At 47.5% G+C, this 20,950-nt stretch overlaps 1 protein-coding gene, 1 long non-coding RNA gene and 1 other non-coding gene across 7 annotated transcripts, besides 8 other annotated features; 1 reads left to right on the forward strand and 2 right to left on the reverse strand.

The window, feature by feature from the left end:
- RPLP1 (ribosomal protein lateral stalk subunit P1) lies at positions 194–3,581 on the forward strand. 2 transcript variants are annotated; one of them, NM_001003.3, is made up of 4 exons: positions 194–396; positions 1,023–1,097; positions 2,546–2,663; positions 2,804–3,581. In NM_001003.3, the coding sequence occupies exons 1-4, from the start codon at positions 325–327 to the stop codon at positions 2,881–2,883; spliced, it is 345 nt and encodes a 114-aa protein (NP_000994.1). In that variant the 5' UTR covers positions 194–324; the 3' UTR covers positions 2,884–3,581. The 2 variants fall into 2 exon arrangements, with proteins under 2 accessions (NP_000994.1, NP_998890.1); NM_213725.2 differs by lacking the exon at positions 1,023–1,097.
- Positions 230–479: an enhancer, noted in NCBI's record as "active region_9655". NCBI's record gives its function as "activates an Ori minimal core promoter by ATAC-STARR-seq in GM12878 lymphoblastoid cells {active_cell/tissue: GM12878}" and the evidence as "EXISTENCE:reporter gene assay evidence [ECO:0000049][PMID:35858748]".
- Positions 500–549: a silencer, noted in NCBI's record as "silent region_6600". NCBI's record gives its function as "represses an Ori minimal core promoter by ATAC-STARR-seq in GM12878 lymphoblastoid cells {active_cell/tissue: GM12878}" and the evidence as "EXISTENCE:reporter gene assay evidence [ECO:0000049][PMID:35858748]".
- Positions 630–739: an enhancer, noted in NCBI's record as "active region_9656". NCBI's record gives its function as "activates an Ori minimal core promoter by ATAC-STARR-seq in GM12878 lymphoblastoid cells {active_cell/tissue: GM12878}" and the evidence as "EXISTENCE:reporter gene assay evidence [ECO:0000049][PMID:35858748]".
- LINC02896 (long intergenic non-protein coding RNA 2896) lies at positions 3,396–10,178 on the reverse strand. 4 transcript variants are annotated; one of them, XR_932420.2, is made up of 3 exons: positions 10,058–10,152; positions 9,388–9,691; positions 3,396–7,174 (listed from the first exon to the last, which is right to left on the reverse strand). It is a non-coding gene; the product is annotated as a long intergenic non-protein coding RNA 2896 (long non-coding RNA). The 4 variants fall into 4 exon arrangements; XR_932421.3 differs by lacking the exon at positions 3,396–7,174 and adding an exon at positions 7,841–8,086 and having other exon boundaries at positions 10,058–10,178; XR_932422.2 differs by lacking the exon at positions 3,396–7,174 and adding an exon at positions 7,841–9,165 and having other exon boundaries at positions 10,058–10,173.
- Positions 5,317–5,525, reverse strand: LOC124903594 (small nucleolar RNA U3). Its single transcript, XR_007064815.1, has one exon. It is a non-coding gene; the product is annotated as a small nucleolar RNA U3 (small nucleolar RNA).
- Positions 9,664–10,170: an enhancer, noted in NCBI's record as "H3K27ac-H3K4me1 hESC enhancer chr15:69754627-69755133 (GRCh37/hg19 assembly coordinates)". NCBI's record gives its function as "activates a minimal SCP1, AML or CMV promoter by ChIP-STARR-seq in primed H9 embryonic stem cells {active_cell/tissue: H9 hESC(primed)}" and the evidence as "EXISTENCE:reporter gene assay evidence [ECO:0000049][PMID:30033119]".
- Positions 9,664–10,678: a biological region, named in NCBI's record as "H3K27ac-H3K4me1 hESC enhancers GRCh37_chr15:69754627-69755133 and GRCh37_chr15:69755134-69755641".
- Positions 10,106–10,400: an enhancer, noted in NCBI's record as "tiled region #2; HepG2 Activating DNase unmatched - State 1:Tss, and K562 Activating non-DNase unmatched - State 1:Tss". NCBI's record gives its function as "activates a minimal TATA promoter and a strong SV40 promoter by Sharpr-MPRA in HepG2 and K562 cells {active_cell/tissue: HepG2 | K562}" and the evidence as "EXISTENCE:reporter gene assay evidence [ECO:0000049][PMID:27701403]".
- Positions 10,171–10,678: an enhancer, noted in NCBI's record as "H3K27ac-H3K4me1 hESC enhancer chr15:69755134-69755641 (GRCh37/hg19 assembly coordinates)". NCBI's record gives its function as "activates a minimal SCP1, AML or CMV promoter by ChIP-STARR-seq in primed H9 embryonic stem cells {active_cell/tissue: H9 hESC(primed)}" and the evidence as "EXISTENCE:reporter gene assay evidence [ECO:0000049][PMID:30033119]".
- Positions 15,719–15,918: an enhancer, noted in NCBI's record as "active region_9657". NCBI's record gives its function as "activates an Ori minimal core promoter by ATAC-STARR-seq in GM12878 lymphoblastoid cells {active_cell/tissue: GM12878}" and the evidence as "EXISTENCE:reporter gene assay evidence [ECO:0000049][PMID:35858748]".

Consider the following 20,950-nt stretch of genomic DNA (forward strand, 5'->3'; position numbering starts at 1 on the left):
TTCTCAGGTCCTATAATTTACCCAAATAAAGTGGGACCGTATTTGCAGGCGCTGAGAAACTTTCTCAACAGTAAGAACCAATCAGGCGCAGTGCGCAGGCGCCTTCAGTGGGTCCTGGGTCCGCCTCTTCCGCCCGGTGCGGGCGCCGATTGGTCCGCGTGGACACATAAGAGGCTGCGTATAGGCGCGAGAGCCCCTTTCCTCAGCTGCCGCCAAGGTGCTCGGTCCTTCCGAGGAAGCTAAGGCTGCGTTGGGGTGAGGCCCTCACTTCATCCGGCGACTAGCACCGCGTCCGGCAGCGCCAGCCCTACACTCGCCCGCGCCATGGCCTCTGTCTCCGAGCTCGCCTGCATCTACTCGGCCCTCATTCTGCACGACGATGAGGTGACAGTCACGGTGAGTGCGGGCGCGGGCCGGCGGCCGGGCTGCCTGTGGGCGGTGACTTTCGGCTCTCCATGCGGTTCCCGGCTCCAGGCCGTTCGACTGAGCACTTCCGGCCGGGGCCAGGCCGCGAACACAGGCCGCATAGGGCGGGCGCTCCTCGGGGCTGGGGCCTCTCTCCGGGCAGGTCCTGGGCCCCCGGGACCACGTGCGGGCCCAGCGGGCATGGAGTGCGCTTGAGGCTGGGCGCTCCGGCTCCAAGAGCCTTCGTGTAGAAAAGCTCTTCCGCAGTGCTTGGGCACCCTGACCCGTGCCTCGTCTCTCTCAGGGACACTTACTCGGACCTCTTTCGGTGTAATTGCCTTGAATTCCCCCGGTCGTGGAGGAAGGCGCCCGAGCTCGGCTCCACCTCCCAGGTCTTGTAACTTAAAAATAGCCGCGTGACTCAGGCAAGTCCCAGCCCGTGAAACAGCAGTGATGGGCTCGCCTCATTGCAGGGCGCCTGGCACACATCTCTTTTGCTTGTGATAGAATATTTGAGCTGGTTAAACATGTTATGTACACTTATTGAGTGACGTGCAGCATTTTGGAGATATTACATACGCTACGTTTTGATGGATTGACGTTTTTATTTGTTGTAGGAGGATAAGATCAATGCCCTCATTAAAGCAGCCGGTGTAAATGTTGAGCCTTTTTGGCCTGGCTTGTTTGCAAAGGTAAGGTGATGGTGGCAAAGTGATTGTGGTAAGGCCTGCTGATTTACGAGGGCAGTTGTACATGCTAAAGTACCCCCAGCGGTGCCATAACGCCCCACATGCCGCTGGATCTCCTAGGTGTTTTTCGTTGCATGTATATCTCTAGGAGCTAATAAGATTTCAGCTTGTCAAGTCTTACGTTTCCTTATCAGACTCTGGTTTCCCTTTTGCTCTGAAACCATGGTTAAAAAAAATGTGAATCAGGTCATTTATTCCCAAAAAGGGTCACTCGGGAGATAGGTACTACGCATGTTAAGTTGCAAGCAAATTCTTTTTCTTTTTCTTTTTTTTTTCTTGAGACGGAGTCACCCAGGCTGGAGTGCAGTGGTGCGATCTCAGCTCACTGCAAGCTCCGCCTCCCGGGTTCACGCCATTATCCTGCCTCAGCCTCCCGAGCAGCTGGGACTACAGGCGTGCGCCACCATGCCTGGCTAATTTTTGTGTGTGTGTTTAGTAGTGACGGGGTTTCACCATGTTAGCCAGGATGGTCTCGATCTCCTGACCTCGTGATCCCCCCGCCTCTGCCTCCCAAAGTGCTGAGATTACAGGCTTGAGCCACCGCTCCCGGCCCGCAAGCAAATTCTTTCAGTAAATTCTTGCATTAAACCTATGGTTTGATGGACATTTGGGTTTAGCGGACTTCATTGACACAGTAGGTACTGTGTGTTGGGATATAAAAGACTAATAAAGAGGTTCCTGGTCATGGAGCTTGCACTGGCTATTTTCCATTGTACAGGTTACTTAATCTCTGTCAAGTGAAGCTAATAGCATCTAACTCCAGGGTTGTGACCTCTAAAGAGTTTTGAAAGATTGAAAACATTGTACCTATGTCATATTTAACAAGCCCCTTTTGAAGTCCTATATTTGTTTAGTAGACTGAAAATTTGAATTCACTGTTAAGAGGAGACATGGAACTGTGGAAAGAATATTCATTTGAGTGTTTCAGGAAGTTTGGATTTTTTTTTTACCAACATATTATTTGTAAAAGGAGGGAAATCAGCTGCCTCAGGAGGTTCTTAACATATAGGAATGTAATTATCAGATTCAAAGCTGAACAGTAGTGCGTTGCCCTGTAACCTAAGTCTTGGCTGTTAGCAAAGAAAAGCCAGTGTCTGGGGTATTGGTTCCAGGACCTTCCACTAATAACAAAATCCCAGGATGTTCCATCTCTTATATAAATGTATTTGCATATAACCTATGCACATCCTCCTGTATACTTTAGAAGTCTACATGTTTGGTACACATGCTTATTTTTCCACTGTTGAATCCATGGATGTGGAACTCACTGTATATAGTGTTAGGGGTTGATCACTGTAACCTGGAATGGGGGATACTTTTCGTTTTTGGCTGCGTGAGTGCTTAACAAGGACAGAACTGGGCGTTTACCTATGCATGCACATGTATTGCAGGCCCTGGCCAACGTCAACATTGGGAGCCTCATCTGCAATGTAGGGGCCGGTGGACCTGCTCCAGCAGCTGGTGCTGCACCAGCAGGAGGTCCTGCCCCCTCCACTGCTGCTGCTCCAGGTAGGAAACATGGAGTTTTTAGTATTGGGAGGAGTGTAGAGATTTTTTAAAAAATAGTATTATAGACAAAATTGCCATTAATTTTTCACAAGTATATGAAGTATGGAAATCCTAACACCTGATTGACTTTTTTTTTCTAGCTGAGGAGAAGAAAGTGGAAGCAAAGAAAGAAGAATCCGAGGAGTCTGATGATGACATGGGCTTTGGTCTTTTTGACTAAACCTCTTTTATAACATGTTCAATAAAAAGCTGAACTTTACTGCTGTTGGTCTTGTCCATAGTTTTGGAATGTGCTCTGCAAAAATGGTCTGTTTTGTAATGTTGGCTTTCAGCCTATTCTGCCATGACACAGGCTGGATTTTCCCTGCCACCATTGCCGGATGTGAGATTTAGACAATCCTGATGCTAACAAGAAGGCACCTCATGGTACAGTGTTGAAAACTGCACTGGGGTGGCAGGAGGAAGGATCAGAGCAGATGCTTTGTCCAGGTTACCTGTGTAAACTTGATGATTATAAGGTGTGTCCCCTACACTGGGGGTGGAGGGTAATACAGACCAGCTTTAGAAAGCCTCCTGGGTATTTACCCTATACAACCCTGCCTAAGAACGAACTTTGACGTATGCTGAATGTTGACTGCTACATCCCAAGGTTGTAAAAAAACAAGACTTAGCTATGTAATGTCTCACCAAATGTTTGGGAGTTTTATGGTAACACTGAAGGAGTGCAGAAAGTTTACTTAATAGTTTATTAAGGTCTCCAGTTACACAAAGTGGAAAAAAAAAAAGATTCAAACCTGTGTTCCAAAAACTAAGAGCTTTTTTTGTTTGCCAATTAATAATACCATGAATGGAATTTTCAACTTTTCAGGCTTGGATTTATATAATAAACCGTGGGTATTGTGTGTTCAGAGCAGCTAATGACATGCCAGGCACATGAATGAGTCTTATCCTTACCTCCATTAGCATTTAGTAGATGAAGACATTCAGTGATGAAAAGCGTGACTTCTAGCCGGGACTCCTCGTGTCAATGTGAAAAAGACCATTTGTGTAAGTTACTACAACTACTTGGGGAAAATGGCAGTTCTACTTTGAGGCATTACTCAAGAGAAACTACATGTGGACATAGGATACATGCCTGGGAATGTTCAAAGCAACACTTGGGGCTTCTCATAAGCTCAAAAAAGACATTAAATATATGCATCTGCTAAGAGTAATAAATACCAAAGACGGGATAGTGAACAATTTAGGACCTTGAGCAAGGTGGAGTTGACAATGGGTAGGAGTATGTAGGTGTCAGTATTAGAGTTTTATGTTTTAAGTTTTTTGAGAGGGGTTCTTTTGCTGTGGCCCAGGCTGGAGTGCAGTGGTGCAGCCATGGCTTACTGCAGCTTCAAACTCCCAGGCTCAAATCGGTCATCCCACCTCAGCCACCCTCAAGTAGCTGGGACTACAGGCATGCCACCATGCCTGGCTAATTTTTTGTAGGAAAACCTCAATCTCCTGGTGTTAAGTGATCTGCACGCCTTGACCTCCCGAAGTGCTGGGAGATTGCAAGTATGAGCCACCATGCCTGGCTAGTTTTGTGTTTTTAATACATGGCTTGAGCATCCCTTACCCAAAACCCAAAACGTAAACGTGACACGCAAAGGAAATGCTCATTGGAACGTTTTGGATTTTCAGGTAAGGAATGCCCAACCTGTATATTAAAACCATAGGCCAGGCATGGTGGTTCATGCCTGCGATTCCTGCACTTTGGGAGGCTGAGGCAGGAGGATTGCTTAAACCTATCCCAGCCTCTACAAGAAATTTTGTTTTAAATTAGTGCAGTGTGGTGGCATGTACCTGTGGCTTCAGTGAGCCGTGTTTGTATCATTACACTCAAGACTGGGTGACAGAGCAGGACCCTGTCTAAAATTATCTAAGATCATAAAGTATACATAAAAACCTTAAGTATATACAAATATTCCGAAGTCTGGAAAAAAGTAGAAATCTGAAACACAAATGGTTCCAAGCATTTCGGATAAGGGATGCTTAGCCTGTACGAAAGGGCAATTGTGAACTAGTGAGGATGGTGTCACAAGACAAAGATAAGGGATAGCCTATATCCACATGTTAAGTGCCTGCTTTTCCTTCACCCATTAACAGCTAACATTAGCTAGGACTGCTCATCTGTGTGGCATGTCATTCTTCACAACAGTCCCATGACAGTATGTCCCCATGTTGGGGATGGGGAAGTGGAAGCTCTCAGGTTACAAACTAGTAAGTGGATGGGTGAACCAGATTAAAACCCACTCTGTCCCTGTTCCCTTAACAGCATGGTCCATGCGTCTGGTCCTTTCTCCCACCTGCATCAGCTTCCTCAACTATAATGACCGTAGGGTTCTGGAGAGGTAACAGTAGGAATTCTTTGTGCTGAGTGAACAAGTGTCAGAGGAGGGAATACTAACACTTCACTTAGCTGAAAAATGGGTTAAAGAGAATACTAACAAGATACGGGAAAAGGACAGCATCTAGAAGAGCAGACATTAAGTGGTAAGCTAGGGATATTGTAAATATCAAACTCAGCTATCCAAACAATCCAATCATAGCTAAAATGTTCACTAGCAAGACTCCAATGTTAACAGTCTATAAGTCCATGGCCCAGGCTTTTTCCCCCACTCAGACTGCATTCTCTCCCTCGGAGGAAGAGAAGAACCATCATCAATGGCAAATGACAGTTGCAGCAAAGCAACACCAAGAGCCAACCTCACGCTCAGCAGAGAATGCTGTGCTGCCACCTCCTCATGGTTTCCAGTGTTGTACATGTTAAGAGAAACTTCTCTAGTAAGGAACTACAGAATTGATGCCTGAAATTATACTCTTGGTCCAGCATTTTTTTTTTTTCAATTTATTTGAGACAGGGTCTCACTGTTGCCCAGGCTGGAGTGCAGTGGCATGGTCATAGCTCACTGCAGCCTTTCTTGGGCTAAGTGATCCTCCCGCCTCAGCCTCCTGAGTGGCTGGGACTGTAGGCATGAGCCACCCTGCCTGGCATGGCCCAGCTTTTTAAGAAATCTTAATATAGCTAAAAATCTTTCTAAAGAACAATTTGAAAATCAAATTAGGAGACCCACATACATACATAGAAATACTAAATTCATCTGGTACTGAATGAAGTCCTCTTTGTTTCATCTGCTTTCTAGTTCTCCTGAGCCTTCTTTTTTTTTGTTTTTTGTTTTTTGTTTTTTTTTTTTTGCAAATGGGAATATCTATTTCATATTGGGGAATGAAAGAGGTAAGTGAACATTCAATACTTGTTACTTCCCTTTTGCATACAGTACAAGGAACATGGCTGGCATCCCTCGTTCCCCAAATCTCCAGGTCTAGTAGGTCCAAGCCTTGTGCTCCTCAAACCCCCTACCCCCCATTTTTTCTGTTTGTTTTTTGTTTTGTTTTTTTGAGACAGAGTCTCACTCTGTCTCCCAGGCCTGAGTGCAGTGGCGCGATCTCGGCTCACTGCAGCCTCCGCCTCCAAGCAATTTTCCTGCCTCAGCCTCCTAAGTAGCTGGGATTACAGGTGTGCGCCACCACACCTGGCTAATTTTTTATTTTCAGTAGAGACAGGGTTTCACCATATTGGTCAGGCTGGTCTTGAACTCCTGACCTCATGATCCGCCTGCCTCAGCCTCCCAAAGTGCTGGGATTACAAGCGTGAGCCGCTGCACCCGGCCCCCCATTCTTATCAATCAGGCAGGTTTGGTTTCTCGTATTTCATACTTCTGATTGTTCACCAAGCATACATGTTACTTTGCTTACATTTCCATTGCTCTCAGCATTGTGTTCACATCTGTGGCCACTGGAAGCGTACCCAGGTCCATGGCTGGCCAACTCACACCCCTTTAAAAGTCTATCAGCAGGAAGCCAAGATTAGGCATGAAGGGCTCTCATGTTCTGGAGAACTGTAGGAACAGACATGCTCATAGACAAACCATCTGAACAACTTCATAAGCCTGTATTGTCACTGAATGTGTTGCACAATGGGATAAGTAAAAATATCCAAAGCTCCTGCCAATCGTTTTACTTTCTAATTTTTTTTTTTTTTTGCTTCTTCTCAACTGAAAATAAGGAGAGAACCACATGTGAAATTTTAAAACCACCTTTTGGAAGAGATAAACACTCTAATTAAAATGAAAGAATTAGGTGCAGTGGCTGAAGCCTGTAATCCCAGCACTTTGGGAGGCCCAGGCAGGCTGATCACTTGAGCCCAGGAGTTCCAGACCAGCCTGGTCAACAAAGTGAGACCCCCGTCTCTACAAAAAAAATGAAAAAATTATAATGTCCAGATTATTGATCTGACCAGAACAGTCCAGGTTCCATGATGCATGCAGTGGTGTCTGTGATCTGACTTTGAGAGACATCTGGCTCTGTTTCAGAAGAACTAAAAATGCAAGTGCTGTAAAGCTTTAAAGCAGCCCATGTTTATCTCAAGTTGAATTATCCAGGCTTGCTTACAAAGATGAGAGAAAAGTGGCCTGTAAAATGACAGAGAAAAACATTAAGTGCTGGTCACTGTATCTTACAAAAGTACGTGTGTGGAGAGGACTCCGTGACACGGTAGAAGAAATGCTGGGTTGAGACAACTGAAGTGCCAGGCCTAACTTTTACCCTGCCATAGCTGTATGAACTTACGAAGGTACTCAACCTCTCTGAGCAAGTTCGTTGTTTTGTTTAAAATTGTTTTGAGACAGAGTCTTGCTCTGTCACCCAGGCTGGAGTGCAGTGGCACAATTTCGGCTCACTGCAACCTCCATCTCCCAGGCTCAAGCAATCCTCCCATCTCAGCCTCCCAAGTAGTTTAGATTACAGGTGCATGCCACCATGCCCGGCTAATTTTTTTGTATTTTTTGTAGAGACGAGGTTTCGCCAGGTTGCCCAGGCCGATCTTGAACTCCTGGGCTCAAGTTATTTGCCTGTTTCAGCCTCCCAAAGGTTTTGTTGGGCCAACGTGAGCCACCATGCCCGGCCAGTTTCTTTATATTAAGAGGGCTAATTGAGTTCTTCTGACATGGTGAAGTCCTGAATGGGAGAACACATAAAAGTTATCTCTAAAGTGCTACTCAACCAGATCAACAATTACCTGGCTCACATTGTTCCCTAAGAATTTTCTGTACATACTCATTGAAATTATGGGAGGGACAAAGGATTTGGCATGTTTTATTTGAATTTATAGAAATACAGTAAACATTTTGCTGCATAATTATTTTGAATTCTTTCATTTTACTTTATTTTTTGAGACAGGGTTTTGCTTTGTTGCCCAGGCTGGAGTGCAGTGGTGAGATCAGTGCAGTGGTGAGATCACAGCTCACTGCAGCCTCGACCTCCTGGATTCAAGCCATCTTCCCACCTTAGCCTCTGAAGTAGCTGGAACTATAGTTTTAGTTCTTCTGAAATAGAGCCAGATGTCTCTCAGTCAGATCACAGACACCACTGCATGCATCATGGAACCTGGACTGTTCTGGTCAGATCAATAATCTGGACATTTCCATCAGAAAACAGGGTCAGAGGTCTTCACATATGTTTATAGGATTGCTCAAATACTTATGGGCTTTCAAAGAATTCTCCAAGGCCTTCTCAATTTAACTTGCTGAAGCTTCCACACCTCTGACTTGTATGCTTTTGAGACTGTTTATAATGTCCAATTCAAGAAATGTGTGTGTTTCATGCTCCAGACCTTTGCACTTGCTATGACCATGCTACTGCACTCCAGTCTGGGCAACAGTGAGACCACTTTGGGAGGCCAAGGTGGGCAGGTCACTTGAGGTCAGGAGTTCCAGACCAGGCTGGCCAACATGGTGAAACCCCATCTCTACTAAATACAAAAATTAGCGGGGCGTGACGGCGCATGCCTGTAGTCCCAGCTACTTGGGAGGCTGAGGCAGGAGAATCGCTTAAACCCAAGAGGCAGAGGTTGCAGTGGGCCGAGATCGCGCCACTGCACTCCAGCCTGGCGACAGAGCTAGACTGTCTGAAAAAAAGAAAAAAAAAGAAAAAAAAAAGTACACGTGTAATTACGTCCACGTGACTGTTGACTATCTGCCTCCTACTCCACACCATATGTTCTGGGGATCAGGGCTGTCCGTTTTGCTCACCTGTATCCCCAATATTTAATGCTGGGCTCCTTGTTGGCCTTTAATATATATTTATCAGAGTTCAACTCTCCTTTTACATGTTAAAAGTTAGAACCGGCTAGGCGCAGTGGCTCACGCCTGTAATCACAGAACTTTGGGAGGCTGAGGTGGGCAGATCACCTGAGGTCGGGAGTTCGAGACCAGCCTGGCCAACATGGAGAAATCCCGTCTCCACTAAAAATACAAAATTAGCCGGGCGTAGTGGCGCATGCCTGTAGTCCCAGCTACTCGGGAGGCTGAGGCAGGAGAATTGCTTCAGCCAGGGAGGCGGAGGTTGCAGTGAGCTGAGAACGCGCCATTGCACTCCAGCCTGGGCAACAAAAGCGAAACTCCGTCTGAAAAAAACAAAACCAATAAACAAACAAACAAAGAAACAAGAAGTTAGGACCCAGATGGGAGGAGGAACTTATTAAGCAGCAATGATGAATGGAACCAGAACTGGAACCCATGAATCCAACTAGCAAATGCTCTTTCCATTGTAGCAGCCCTATAGGGGCAAACACGCGCCCGCCATCCCCCAGGAGCCTCATTCATTCATTTACTTTCACAGCACGCACCTTCCAGGCTCCTCCGCACAGGTACAGGTTTGAGGCGGGAACCAGATGAGGACGAAGGCGGAGATGCTGTTGGTACCAGGTCTGGCCTTGCACTCTAGCTCTGCGAACCTAATGCGCGGTCTTGCAAGCCTAGCCCCTGGGCATCAGGGCTGACTGCCCTGGGAATGCCTGGAGAGATGAACAGGGAACTCATCAGATGCCACAGCAGAAGCAAAGGCGTGGCACCTGGAGGCCCACTTCCTTCTGGACACGGAGTCCCGCACTCAGGGTGACCTGTCACCTCCTCTGTCACGTCCAACATCACCTACGATGAAGAAGATGCAGGAAGCTTAGAGGCCGAGGCTAGGCGGCCAGACGAAGTGTCGTCCTCTGCCCCGGTCTCGGCCCCAGGGAGCCTGGCACCTCTCCAGCGCTGGCGCGTGAAGGTCGCAGGCCCACAGTTGAGCTTTTTTTTTTTTTGAGACGGAGTTTCGCTCTTGTTGCCGAGGCTGGAGTGCAATGGCGCAATCTTGGCTCACTGCAACCTCCGCCTGCCGGGTACAAGCGAGTCTCCTGTCTCAGCCTCCCAAGTAGCTCGGATTATAGGCATGAGCCACTACGCCTGGCTAATTTAGTAGAGACGTAGTTTCACCATGTTGGTCAGGCTGGTCGCGAACTTTGATCCACCCACCTTGCCCTCCCAAAGTGCTGGGATTACAGGCGTGCGCCACAGCGCCCGGCCGACAGTCGAGCTTTTAGAGCCCGCGGCGCGCCCACCAACGCAGGGCCGGGAGGAAAAGGCGGGCCGAGAGGCGGGGCTGGAGGCCGAGTGTGGCCGAGGGAAGCCGAACTTTCCAGTTTCGCTGAGGCCTGTTAACCGCTGGGGGCGCCTTCGGGACAGCTGGCTTCTGCGCATGCTCTTGACCCTCCGTCCCCCGGAGGAATGTCTTAAGTCAGGAGCTGATTAGTGGTTGAAGGCAGCTGATCTGTTTCGAATCCTGTGTGTCCGGAGAGGCCAACGCTTTCATTAGCCAGCAGGAATGGGCTGGGGCGCGTTTGTAGTTGGGAATCCTGAGCCCGGGCTGTTGCTTGGAGGACTCGGGAGCAGCAGTGGATTTCGGCGTTACCAGGAGAGGTCTCGAGCACCAGATCCCTCTTCCTTCACTTCCCAGTAGTGGGTTCTAGCCGTTCCCAGCGCCTTCATTTCCAGAAGGCGATTTTACCCAGAGAAAGGAGAGGGAAGATTTGCTCTACCTTTGGCTTCTTATCAAATAGCTAAATCACGTGGGAAGCTGGTAAACAAAAACAAAAATGAATGAAACAAACAACTAAACAGCTTGCCGGGCCCCTCCAAGGCCCACCGAACCAGCCCCTCGAGGCAGCCACCGGGAATTTTCATAAGCTCTTCTGATGAGCGGGAGGATAAGTCAGTCAGGGCTGGAAACTCCCGGATCAGAGCAAACCCAGCTCCTCAGCACCTGAGGAGAAGACGCGTAGTCAATATGGTTTGAAATAATGTGTAAATGAATATATGAATGAAGAGCTGTCTTCAAACGTGGAAGGAAAAGTTAACAGTTTGATAAAAAGCCATATTGACAAACCTGGGAAAATGGGCTGTTGGTTGATTTGGGTGTAAATTCCTATAACGTTTTTCTTCTTTCTTTTCTTCTTTACTCCTCCTCTCCCTCCTCCTCCCCTACCCCTCCTTTCCCCTCCTCCTCCTCTTTCTCTTTCTTCTTCTCTTCTTTTTTTTTGAGACAGGATCTCACTGTCGCCCAGGATGGAGTGCAGTGGCATGATCTCTGCTCACTGCAACCTTGAACTCTGGGGCTCAAGCGATCCTCCCGAGTAGCCGGGATTACAGGCACATGTCACCACGCCAGGCTACTTTTTTTTTTTTTTTTTTTGGTCTTTTCTAGAGATAGGGTTTCACCATGTTGCCCAGGGTGGTCTTGAACTCCTAGGCTCAAGTGATCCTCCATCCTTGGCCTCCCAAAGTGCTGGGATTACAGGCGAGAGCCTCCACACCCAGCCCCTTAATGTTTCATTCTACTATTTTATTAAAGACTGAAAACCACAGTTAATAATGTGGGGATTTTGAATTTTTTAAATTTACTTTTTTTTTGAGACAGGGTCTTGCTTTGTCACCCAGGCTGGAGTGCAGTGGTGTGATCAAGGCTCACTGCAGCCTCGACCTCCTTGGGGCTCAAGCAACCTTCCTGCCCCAGTCTCCAAGTAGCTGGATTACAGGTGGTGAGCCACTGTGCCATCACTACAAGTTCCAATTTTTTTTTTTAATTTTTAAATGTTTTCTTCAGCCTGTTTGAGTTTGAACTACTACAGTTTTGTTTTGTTTTTTTTTTTTTTTTTTTTTTTTTTTGAGATGGAGTCTTGCTCTGTCGCCTAGGCTGGAGTGGAGCGGTGCGATCTCAACTCACTGCAAGCTCCGCCTCCCGGGTTCACGCCATTCTCCTGCCTCAGCCTCCCGAGTAGCTGGGACTACAGGCGCCCGCCACCACGCCCTGCTAATTTTTTGTATTTTTAGGAGAAACAGGGTTTCACCATGTTAGCCAGGATGGTCTTGATCTCCTGACCTCGTGATCTGCCCGCCTCGGCTTCTCAAAGTGCTGGGATTATAGGCGTGAGCCACCGAGCCCGGCCAGAACTACTACAATTTTTTTAGGGTCATTTGGTCCTCTCTCTCAAAAGTGCGCTTACCCTCTATCCAGGAATTTCATTTGTAGGAACCTATGCTATGTACAATTTCACTGAAGTATTGCTTGTATTAGAAAAAAAGTATGGATGATAGGCAGGTTGAATAAATGTTAATGTTTTCATGTAGCTATGTATAGGAATGCCGCTATGGAAAGACATCCAGGACACCTTGTTAAGTGAAAAAAGGTAAGTTGCCACCAGTATGCATAACATGACCCTATTTGAGTAAAAAAATAAAAAAAATGTGCATATGTTTTATAGTATTAAAAAACTTCTGGGAGGATTCAAGAGTAATTATAGTGGTTACTTCTGAGGACAGGGATTGGATGGGGTGGAAGAAATATTTTTACTTTCCAGTTTATCCTTTTTATATTGCTTGAATTTTTAAAGACCATGAACATACATTACTTTTCTAAATTAAAAACACTGGTTTTGATTTTTTAAAAATTGGAGAGGGTTTCATGTGGAAGAGAGACTCAACTTCCAAGTAGTTCTAGAAGGAAGAACTCTGACCAGTTTTGAGACAGTTTTAGGTCAAAATAAGAAAAATAAGGAAAAGCTTTGCTAGGTGTTAGGCTGAGGCTGGGATATGGAAGACAGTGTTGCTCCAGGAGGAAGTGAACTAGATGCTTCCTCTAGCTATGAGATCATGTAAGTCTTCTGGGACACAGGGTTAAATGCTCTGATATCAGACTACCTGGGCTGGCTCAAATCCCATTGCCGCTAAATAGGGCTGTGTGACTTTGAGTGAGTTATTTAACCTCTCTGTGCCTCAGTTCCATCATATGCATAGTGGGGATCATGTTGACACCTACCTCATAGAGTTCTTTTAGAATTAAGTGAGATGGCACATATAAAACAGCATAGTTACTGTTCAAAAACTGTTGAGCTTTTCTTTGCTATCTCATATGAATTGGTGGCTAAAAAGTTAAAAAGTGGCAGGGCACGGTGACTCACTCCTTTGGGAGGCCGAGGAAGGTGGATCACTTGAGGCCAGCAGTTGGAGACCAGCCTGGCCAACATGGCAAAAACCCACCTCTACTAAAAATACAAAAATGAGCCGGGTGTGGTGGCGTGTGCCTGTAGTCCCAGCTACTCAGGAGGCTGAGGCATGAGAATTGTTTGAACCCTGGAGCTGGAGGTTGGAATGAACCAAGATTGCGCCATTGCACTCTATCCTGGATGACAGAGAGAGACTGTCTCAAAAAATAAAATAAATAAAATAAAAAGGAAATCAAAGAAACAGTTTCTACAATTAGAAAGGCTGTTTTATTTTTACACCCTTTATGGAGAAGGTCAAATATTGGATTTTCAGAATTAATGGAATTATTGGGTTGGTAGAATTTCATACATGCTGGATGGCTTTGCTGACAAAAGGAATTTTTGTTTTCCAGATGCTGGCTCAGTGTTGCCCCATAGTGGCCAATCCTGGGAAGGGCTACTGGGGTTGACCCCTTCACGCTAGAGTGCTTCTAGGCTAGGGTGTGAGTTCCACAGTCAGAGCTGCCTGGCTGCTTGGCCGAAGGATGAGTGAGTCAGTCCACACCTTAGTAAGGAAAGCATGTTTGTGTGCCCTCCCATGACCCAGCCAAGAGGAAACCAAGAGCACTTTAATATGGTCTTCCCTCCCTTGTAATTTACTTAGCACGCTTCACTTTGCCTCTGCAAATGCTCAAGTTCATTTCTTGTTTAAAAACAAAGAAAGATGTCACTGAATCACTGTGCAATCTGGTGCACCCTTGGTTTTCCTCAAAGGTTGTTGGAAGAAAAGGCCACATGAAAACCATTTCTGCTTTTGCCAGAAAACTTGAGCAGGCTCTTATATTGTTATGGTCTCCTAAATAAGGTCTCATGTGAAAAATTCTTGTAAAATTTAGGGGCAGGAGAAAGTTTGTGTCCTCTGGGGCATTAGTCTGCATCCTCCTGTATGATAACGAGAGCTCTGTGACTTCACACTCTCTCTTCTCTGCTTCAGCTGCTGAGAAATTCAGTACCAGACCAGGTGCCCAATCTCAGTAATTAAATTAACCCAAATGGATAAGGTGTTTACCTCCTCCTCCTTTTCTTGGTACTGATTTTTAAAATAAAAATTTTGGCAGCTTTTTTATTGACTTTACTGCATCGTTGTACTTTGATCTATACTCAAATTCTTTTGAGAAAGAGGAAAGGAATTCACAAATTAAATGAAAAATTGAATATTGGAAGGTTTTTTTCTGGTGGCACGTTAAATGAGATATTAAGTTAGTGGTTGTACTTGGGTTTTGAGACTAACAAGCTTATAGGTCCAAGATTTCAGGTCATAATTTTTCTTTACTTGGGAAAATGAGAACCTCATGCATATCAGGCCATCAAAGAAGTTGTGAGGTGTGGTGAAAAGACAGAAAGCAGTTCAGGCTTGTTTTTTGTTTGTTTGTTTGTTTGGAGATGGAGTCTCTCTGTCACCCAGGCTGGAGTGCAGTGGCATGATCTCGTCTCACTACAACCTCCGCCTCCTGAGTTCCAGCGATTCTCCTGCCTCAGCCTCCCGAGTAGCTGGGACTATAGGCGCGCACCACCACACCCGGCTGATTTTTGTAGTTTTAGTAGAGACGGGGTTTCACCACGAGGCTTGTTTTTTATCCACTGTCACCAAGGATAATATTGAATCAGTGTGAACATTCAGAGACCGAAAAAGCTAGAAGCCCTATTCGGACCCAAAATATTTTCCCTCTGCTGTCATTTCAGACATGCCACCATTAGGGCTTCATTTCCCTGCAGTCTTCTTTAAATACCAAAACTGCCCTGGGAAGGATAAGACATCAGTTTCTTCATACTTCAGAGCAAATGGGATTGATTCCCAGGACCTCCTTTCTGTGGACTGGGTTTTTGCCTCCTCACCAAGAGACTGGGCTCCCTGGGCGAGCAGAGGCTGCTGGGTAAGAGAGATTTAGTTCTGTTTCAACAAGCTGTGGGGCCTTCGACAAGCCCCCTGACCTCTCTGGCCCCTGGTGTCCTCACGTTGCCATGAAGGGCTTTTGAGGATGCTCCAGCTCCCACATGGCCAATCCCGACTCCCCTCCCAGGGCCCCTGTTGGGCCCTGCGGCAGGTGCCAGTGGAGTCACCTTCCAGCCCGGCGGGGCCCATTAGCTCCTTGCTCTGTTGACTCTCAGGTAAAACCTTTCTTGTGTTTACTCAGCAAAGATTCTTTTAAGACGGGCTAAGCACACGGTTTACTCTGCTAACAAGCCTTGGCATTTATTGTGAGGACCTGTGTTGACTTATTCTCGAGTCTCCATTGACACTCACTGAGAAACGTTAACGCAAACACAAGGAGACATCCTGGGAGCTCTGAGGCCCGACATTGTGCTGGGGAAGGAGCTCCAGAAAGGGCCATCCTTTCTGTTTTGGTTAGAATCACCTTGAGAGTTAAAAATAACAATAATATAGGCACCATAAGAGATTCTAATGATCTCCTTTTACTTTTTAGGTTCAGTATCTGAACACTTTTGCTAAAGGTCTCTGGAAAGCTCCCTGTGTTAATTCTCGATGAGACTACGTCTGTGCCGGCCGCTTCCTGAGCCTCCTTCCATGTGCATAGGCCTGCTGCATGCTGGAGACCTGCGGCACAGCTGCCAAGTGCCCCGTGTGGTTCTGTGATCTTGGGACAGTCACTTCCTCTCTGTGGTTGTCAGTCTTCTCATCCCTAAGGTAAGGGGACGCTGTCTCCACGCTCATCTCCTCAGCTAGACTGGGGCCTCAGGCCTGAGCCCAGGGCCTAAGAGCCCTAAAAAATGTTTGCTGAATAAATGAATGAATAAGCCACATTAGCCACTCTCTCCGGTCTTGCTCCGACATCTTGTGCCTGAATCCTCCCCCAGTGCAGGCTCTGCTTTGAGTCGTACGTAGTCTGATGAGATCTGCTAATGGGGTCACTGCAGACAACCACAGAGCCCCAGCGTCTGACTCATACGCTGCGGCTGCCAAGTGGTTTCACCTGCCTCTGCCTCTCTCATTACCTCCTCTCATTCAAGCTGATGCTTGTAAAGGAAACAGCTTTCAGGTGAGGGGCCTGTGTATTTGGTTTGTCTTTGTTGCCTGGAAACTGTTGACATCCTGAGACATTCTGTTGCCTTCACTGGGTAATGAAAAATTGATTACTTTTCTCTCTGTCAACAAACTATAGCCCGTTCCCCTTGGCTGGGAATGGGTGAGAAGTGTGTGCGTCTTGCTCCGTGGCTGTTTGCTTGCTTTCAACAAGTTGGGTTTGCTTGACTTAGAGGTGGGGGTGGGGCCCAGAGCAGAGGGACAGGATAAGTGGCTGTGGGGGAGGCTCTTGGGGAGAGGACTCTCCTCACTTCCCTTGAGCGCTCCCTCAGTTCCAGCAAATGCCTTCACCCAGCTGACCCGTGGCATCTCTCCCCTCTGCAGTGTTCTCTCTGCTCAGCCTGCCCAGAAGCCTCCTTGAGTCTCTCCAGCCCTGGGGACAGCCTGAGATACACAGCTAATACCATTTCCTCTGTGTTCTGCTCTGTGTGGTGTCTCCTCTGGACTGTGCACTGGGCTGGCATCCCCTACCTGAGGGGATGGGCAATAGATATACCCAGAGGAGCTCAGCATGCTAGATTTAGAAGGGACCTCAGAGAGCATCCAGCCCTCTTGGTTTTACATTTGTGGAAGAGAAAGCTCATAGGGCAGGTGACGTGGCTGTGGCCACATAGCTAAGTGGTAACAGAGTATGCCTTCTTGACTCCCAGTCCAGTAGGATGAAGGTCGTCAGTTTGGTACTCACTGTCCTTGGTGGAATATGAAAGTCATGGGATGGCCCTCACCCCAGGAACATATCAAACACTCAGCAAAAGGGGTCAGAGACTGGGCAAGAGTGGACAGAGGCCTGGGGTCTTTCCGTGGGGAGCATGGTGACTTGGCCACTCAGCAGGGATGGAGGTGGCGGAGCTCACGTGAGAGAAGCTTTCAAAAGGTGGTGTTGAGAGAACAGTGAAGAATGGGCTTTGCGAGGGTGGCCTGATGTGTAGGCTTGGCTAAGTCCTCTCCTTTCCTGACTCCATGTTTGGTGCCTGCATGCCTTGCTCCCCAGAGCGGGGACAGCGTGTGGGCCCCACAGCCATGGGAGAGCAGAACTGCCCAGGGTAGGAGGTCACAGCCTCAGGCTGCCTGGTCCCACTCCAGCAGCCTTCTTGGCCCCAGGTAAGATCTGTAGATGACCCCGTAGGCTCAGCCTTGCCCCCAGCCTTGGGGGAGCCCATGCTTGCAACAGGATAGATAAGGGCTCTCTGAGATTCCCTGAGCTATCACTCCTGGCTGGCCCTACTTTAGACCTGCCTTGCTCCAGGAAAGGATCTTACACTTTGTTCCAGGGCCCCAGGCCTGCCTAGACATCTCTGAGTCAGCTTCAGGGGATCATAACTTTAAGCCTCTTGTTCTTCACTGATTGCTGTACTCAGGCATTTCTTGAGTTCCTTAGTCCCTGGGTTTCGGGCTGGCTTAGGAGCAGCCAGTTGGAGGGCTCTGGAAGTGTTTTGCTTGCTTTGCATCAATGGTGGACTGGGGCTGGGGCTGGGGCTGGGGCTGGGGCTGGGAAGGGTGCTTTATCACTGATGTCATTAAGAATTGCCAGCGCATGGTCAGGATGAGAAGCAGACTAGCTTCTTTTTTTCTTCTTGAGACAGTCTTGCTCTGTCACCCAGGCTGGAGTGTAGTGGCGCGATCTCAGCTCACTGCAACCTCCGCCTCCCAGATTCAAGCAATTCTCCTGCCTCAGCCTCCCAAGTAGCTGGGATTACAGGTGCCCGCCACCACGCCCGGGTAATTTTTGTATTTTTAGTAGAGATGGGGGTTTCACCATGTTGACCAGGCCGGTCTCGAACTCTTGACCTCAGGTGATCCACCCACCTCGGCCTTCCAAAGTGCTGGGATTATAGGCGTAAGCCACTGTGCCCGGCCCAGACTGGCTTCTACTCAGTTTTATCACTATTGTTACTTTCTCTACAGACTCATTGCCTGACCCTGGGGGATGGACCCTTCTGCCCCTCACCCCCACCCCAGGTATACCACCGGCAGGTATAGAGGTTTTTACATACTTATTTCTTTTTAAAATAAACCTTATTTTTTAGAACAGTTTTAGGTTTACAGCAAAATTGAGCAGAAGGTACAGAGATTTCCCATATATCACCTACCCCTACAACATGCACAGCCTCCCCCACCATCAAAAACCTGCAGGGAGTTGTCCATTTGTCACAGTCCATTAACCTGCATTGATACATCATCATCTCCCAAAGTCCATAGTTTACATGAGAGTTTGCTCTTGGTGCTGTGTATTCTGTGGATTTGGAAAATGTAGAATGACGTGCATCCATCATTGAGGCATCACACAGAGCAGTCTCACTCCCCTAAAAGTCCCCTGCACTCCACCTGTTCATCCCTCCCTCCCCCAACCCTGGCAACCACTGATCTTTTTACCGTCTCCATAGTTTTGCTGTTTCCAGAATGTCGTCTAGTTGGAATCGTGCAGTCTGTAGCCTTTTCAGATTGGCTTCTCTCGCTTAGTAATGTGCATTTAAGGTTCCTCCATGTCTTTTCATGGCTTGGTAGCTCATTTCTTTTTAGCACTGAATAATACTCCACTATCTGGTTGTGACATGGTTTATCCATTCATTTACTGAAGAACATCTTGGTTGCTTCTAAGTTTTGGCAATTATGAATAAAGCTGCTATAAACACCTGTGTGCAGGTTTTGTGTGGATATAAGTTTTTTTTTTCAACTCCTTTGGGTGAATACCAAGGAGCATGATGTATAGAATTTAAAAAATTGGGAAGCAGGTGAGGCACGGTGGCTGATGCCTGTAATCTCAGCACTTTGGGAGGCCAAGATGGGAGGCGTGCTTGAGCCCAGGAGTTTGAGACCAGCCTGGGCAACAAAGTGAGACCCCCAGCTCTACAAAAAAATTAAAAAGTTAGCCGGGTGTGGTAGTACACACCTGTAGTCCCAGCTACATGGGAGGCTGGGGCAGGAGGATCCCCTGAGCCCAGGAGGTTGAGGCTGCAGTGAGCCATGGTTATGCCACTGCACTCCAGTCCAGGTGACAGAGCAAGACTGTCTCGAAAAAAATAAATTTAGAAACTACCCAAGTTGTGGATTTCTGGTTTCTTGTTAAACGTTGGAGGATCTGGATGGTATGTGTCTGATGGTGCAGTCAGCACCGCTGCTGCTGTCCTTTTGGGTTGGGCATGTGCCACCTCTTCAACTCCTCTCTGCGCCCCCCTTCTATAGTCTTTACTCTGCCTCAAGTGCACTCGTGCCTAGCCATTTGAGTTTGCAATCCCTGGAGGAGATAGCGTAACACTTCTCACGTGGGGAGCCTTGAGAATGGTCCAACTGCATCACTACGTGTCCCTGGTAGTCCTGGATTTGGTAGATGTGGTTTAGGTGCCCTGGAGGTCCCTGTAGCAACATGTGATTTTCCTGTGGCCTGGTTTTGAAGTGAGTGTGCCACAAGGTTGGTAGAATGGAGTGAATTGCTGACAAGCGAGTGAGTGGGCCTAGCCTGCCACCTGCCACCCAGCTCTCAGTACCCCTGTTGGGCTTGGTTTTGTTCCCAGAATCCAGTCTTGATGATTTGCCTGACAGTCTGCTCCTTCCCAGGTGCAGGAGTTTGTTTTAATTCTCCTTTCCTTCTATGGACTGGACGCATTTGTCTACTAATTCATTCACTCATTGAATTATTCAGCATGTATCCACGAATTATCTATTAGGCAAACACTGCTTTCGATGTCAGAGATGCAGAGATTAATTAGATCAAGTCCTAACTCTTAAAATTCTCTTATCTGGTGGAATAAAGACCCTTCAAGGGTTATACTGTGTTTAGGAGGTCTGTGGTAAGGAGCAGCAGCTGTCAGGAGGCAAGGGTGGGGCAAAGGGGTGGGCTTGTGTGGGAAGGTGTTAGGGAGGCTTCCTGGAGAAGGAGATGTTTTGGCTGCAGAGAAAGCTGCTGTTAAACAACACGGAGTAGCTAGATAAACATCCATAGAACTGCAGGGATGTGGTGTGGATGGAACTGAGTGTAAGGAGAGTGGCAGTTGAAGAGATGACTGGGTGAGAGCCAAGCTCAGAGTAGCCCTGCCCAATAGAAATAGGACGAGCCGCCTAGGCGATTATAAACTTCCTAGAGCCACATTCAAAAATGGAAAAGGACACAAGCTAAATAACTTTTATTTTATTATTATTATTTTTTGAGACGGAGTCTCACTCTTGTCGCCCAGGCTGGAGAGCAGTGGCACAATCTCGACCCGCTGCAACCTCCACCTCCTGGGTTCAAGCGATTCTTCTGCCTCAGCCTCCTGAGTAGCTGGGATTACAGGCGCCCTCCACCATGCCCAGCTAATTTCTTTTTGTATTTTTTTTTTTTTTTTTTTTTTTGAGACGGAGTCTCGCTCTGTCGCCCAGGCCGGACTGCGGACTGCAGTGGCGCAATCTCGGCTCACTGCAAGCTCCGCTTCCCGGGTTCACGCCATTCTCCTGCCTCAGCCTCCCGAGTAGCTGGGACTACAGGCGCCCGCCACCGCGCCCGGCTAATTTTTTGTATTTTTAGTAGAGACGGGGTTTCACCTTGTTAGCCAGGATGGTCTCGATCTCCTGACCTCATGATCCACCCGCCTCGGCCTCCCAAAGTGCTGGGATTACAGGCGTGAGCCACCGCGCCCGGCGTTCTTTTTGTATTTTTAATAGAGACAGGGCTTCACCACGTTGGTCAGGCTGATCTCAAACTCCTGACCTCAAGTGATCCACGCACCTCGGCCTCCCAAAGTGCTGGGATTTCAGGCACCTGGCTCAATTTTTTTTTTTTTTTTTTGAGATGGAGTCTCGCTCTGTCAC

Source organism: Homo sapiens, chromosome 15, assembly GCF_000001405.40.
Source record: "Homo sapiens chromosome 15, GRCh38.p14 Primary Assembly".
In the NCBI taxonomy this organism is placed as follows: domain Eukaryota; kingdom Metazoa; phylum Chordata; class Mammalia; order Primates; family Hominidae; genus Homo; species Homo sapiens.

Coding starts and splice junctions, on each gene's coding strand:
- RPLP1 (NM_001003.3), top strand. CDS start 325: ATGGCCTCTGTCTCCGAGCTCGCCTGCATCTACTCGGCCCTCATTCTG. Junction 397..1,022: donor ACGATGAGGTGACAGTCACG/GTGAGTGCGGGC, acceptor TATTTGTTGTAG/GAGGATAAGATCAATGCCCT. Junction 1,098..2,545: donor GGCCTGGCTTGTTTGCAAAG/GTAAGGTGATGG, acceptor CATGTATTGCAG/GCCCTGGCCAACGTCAACAT.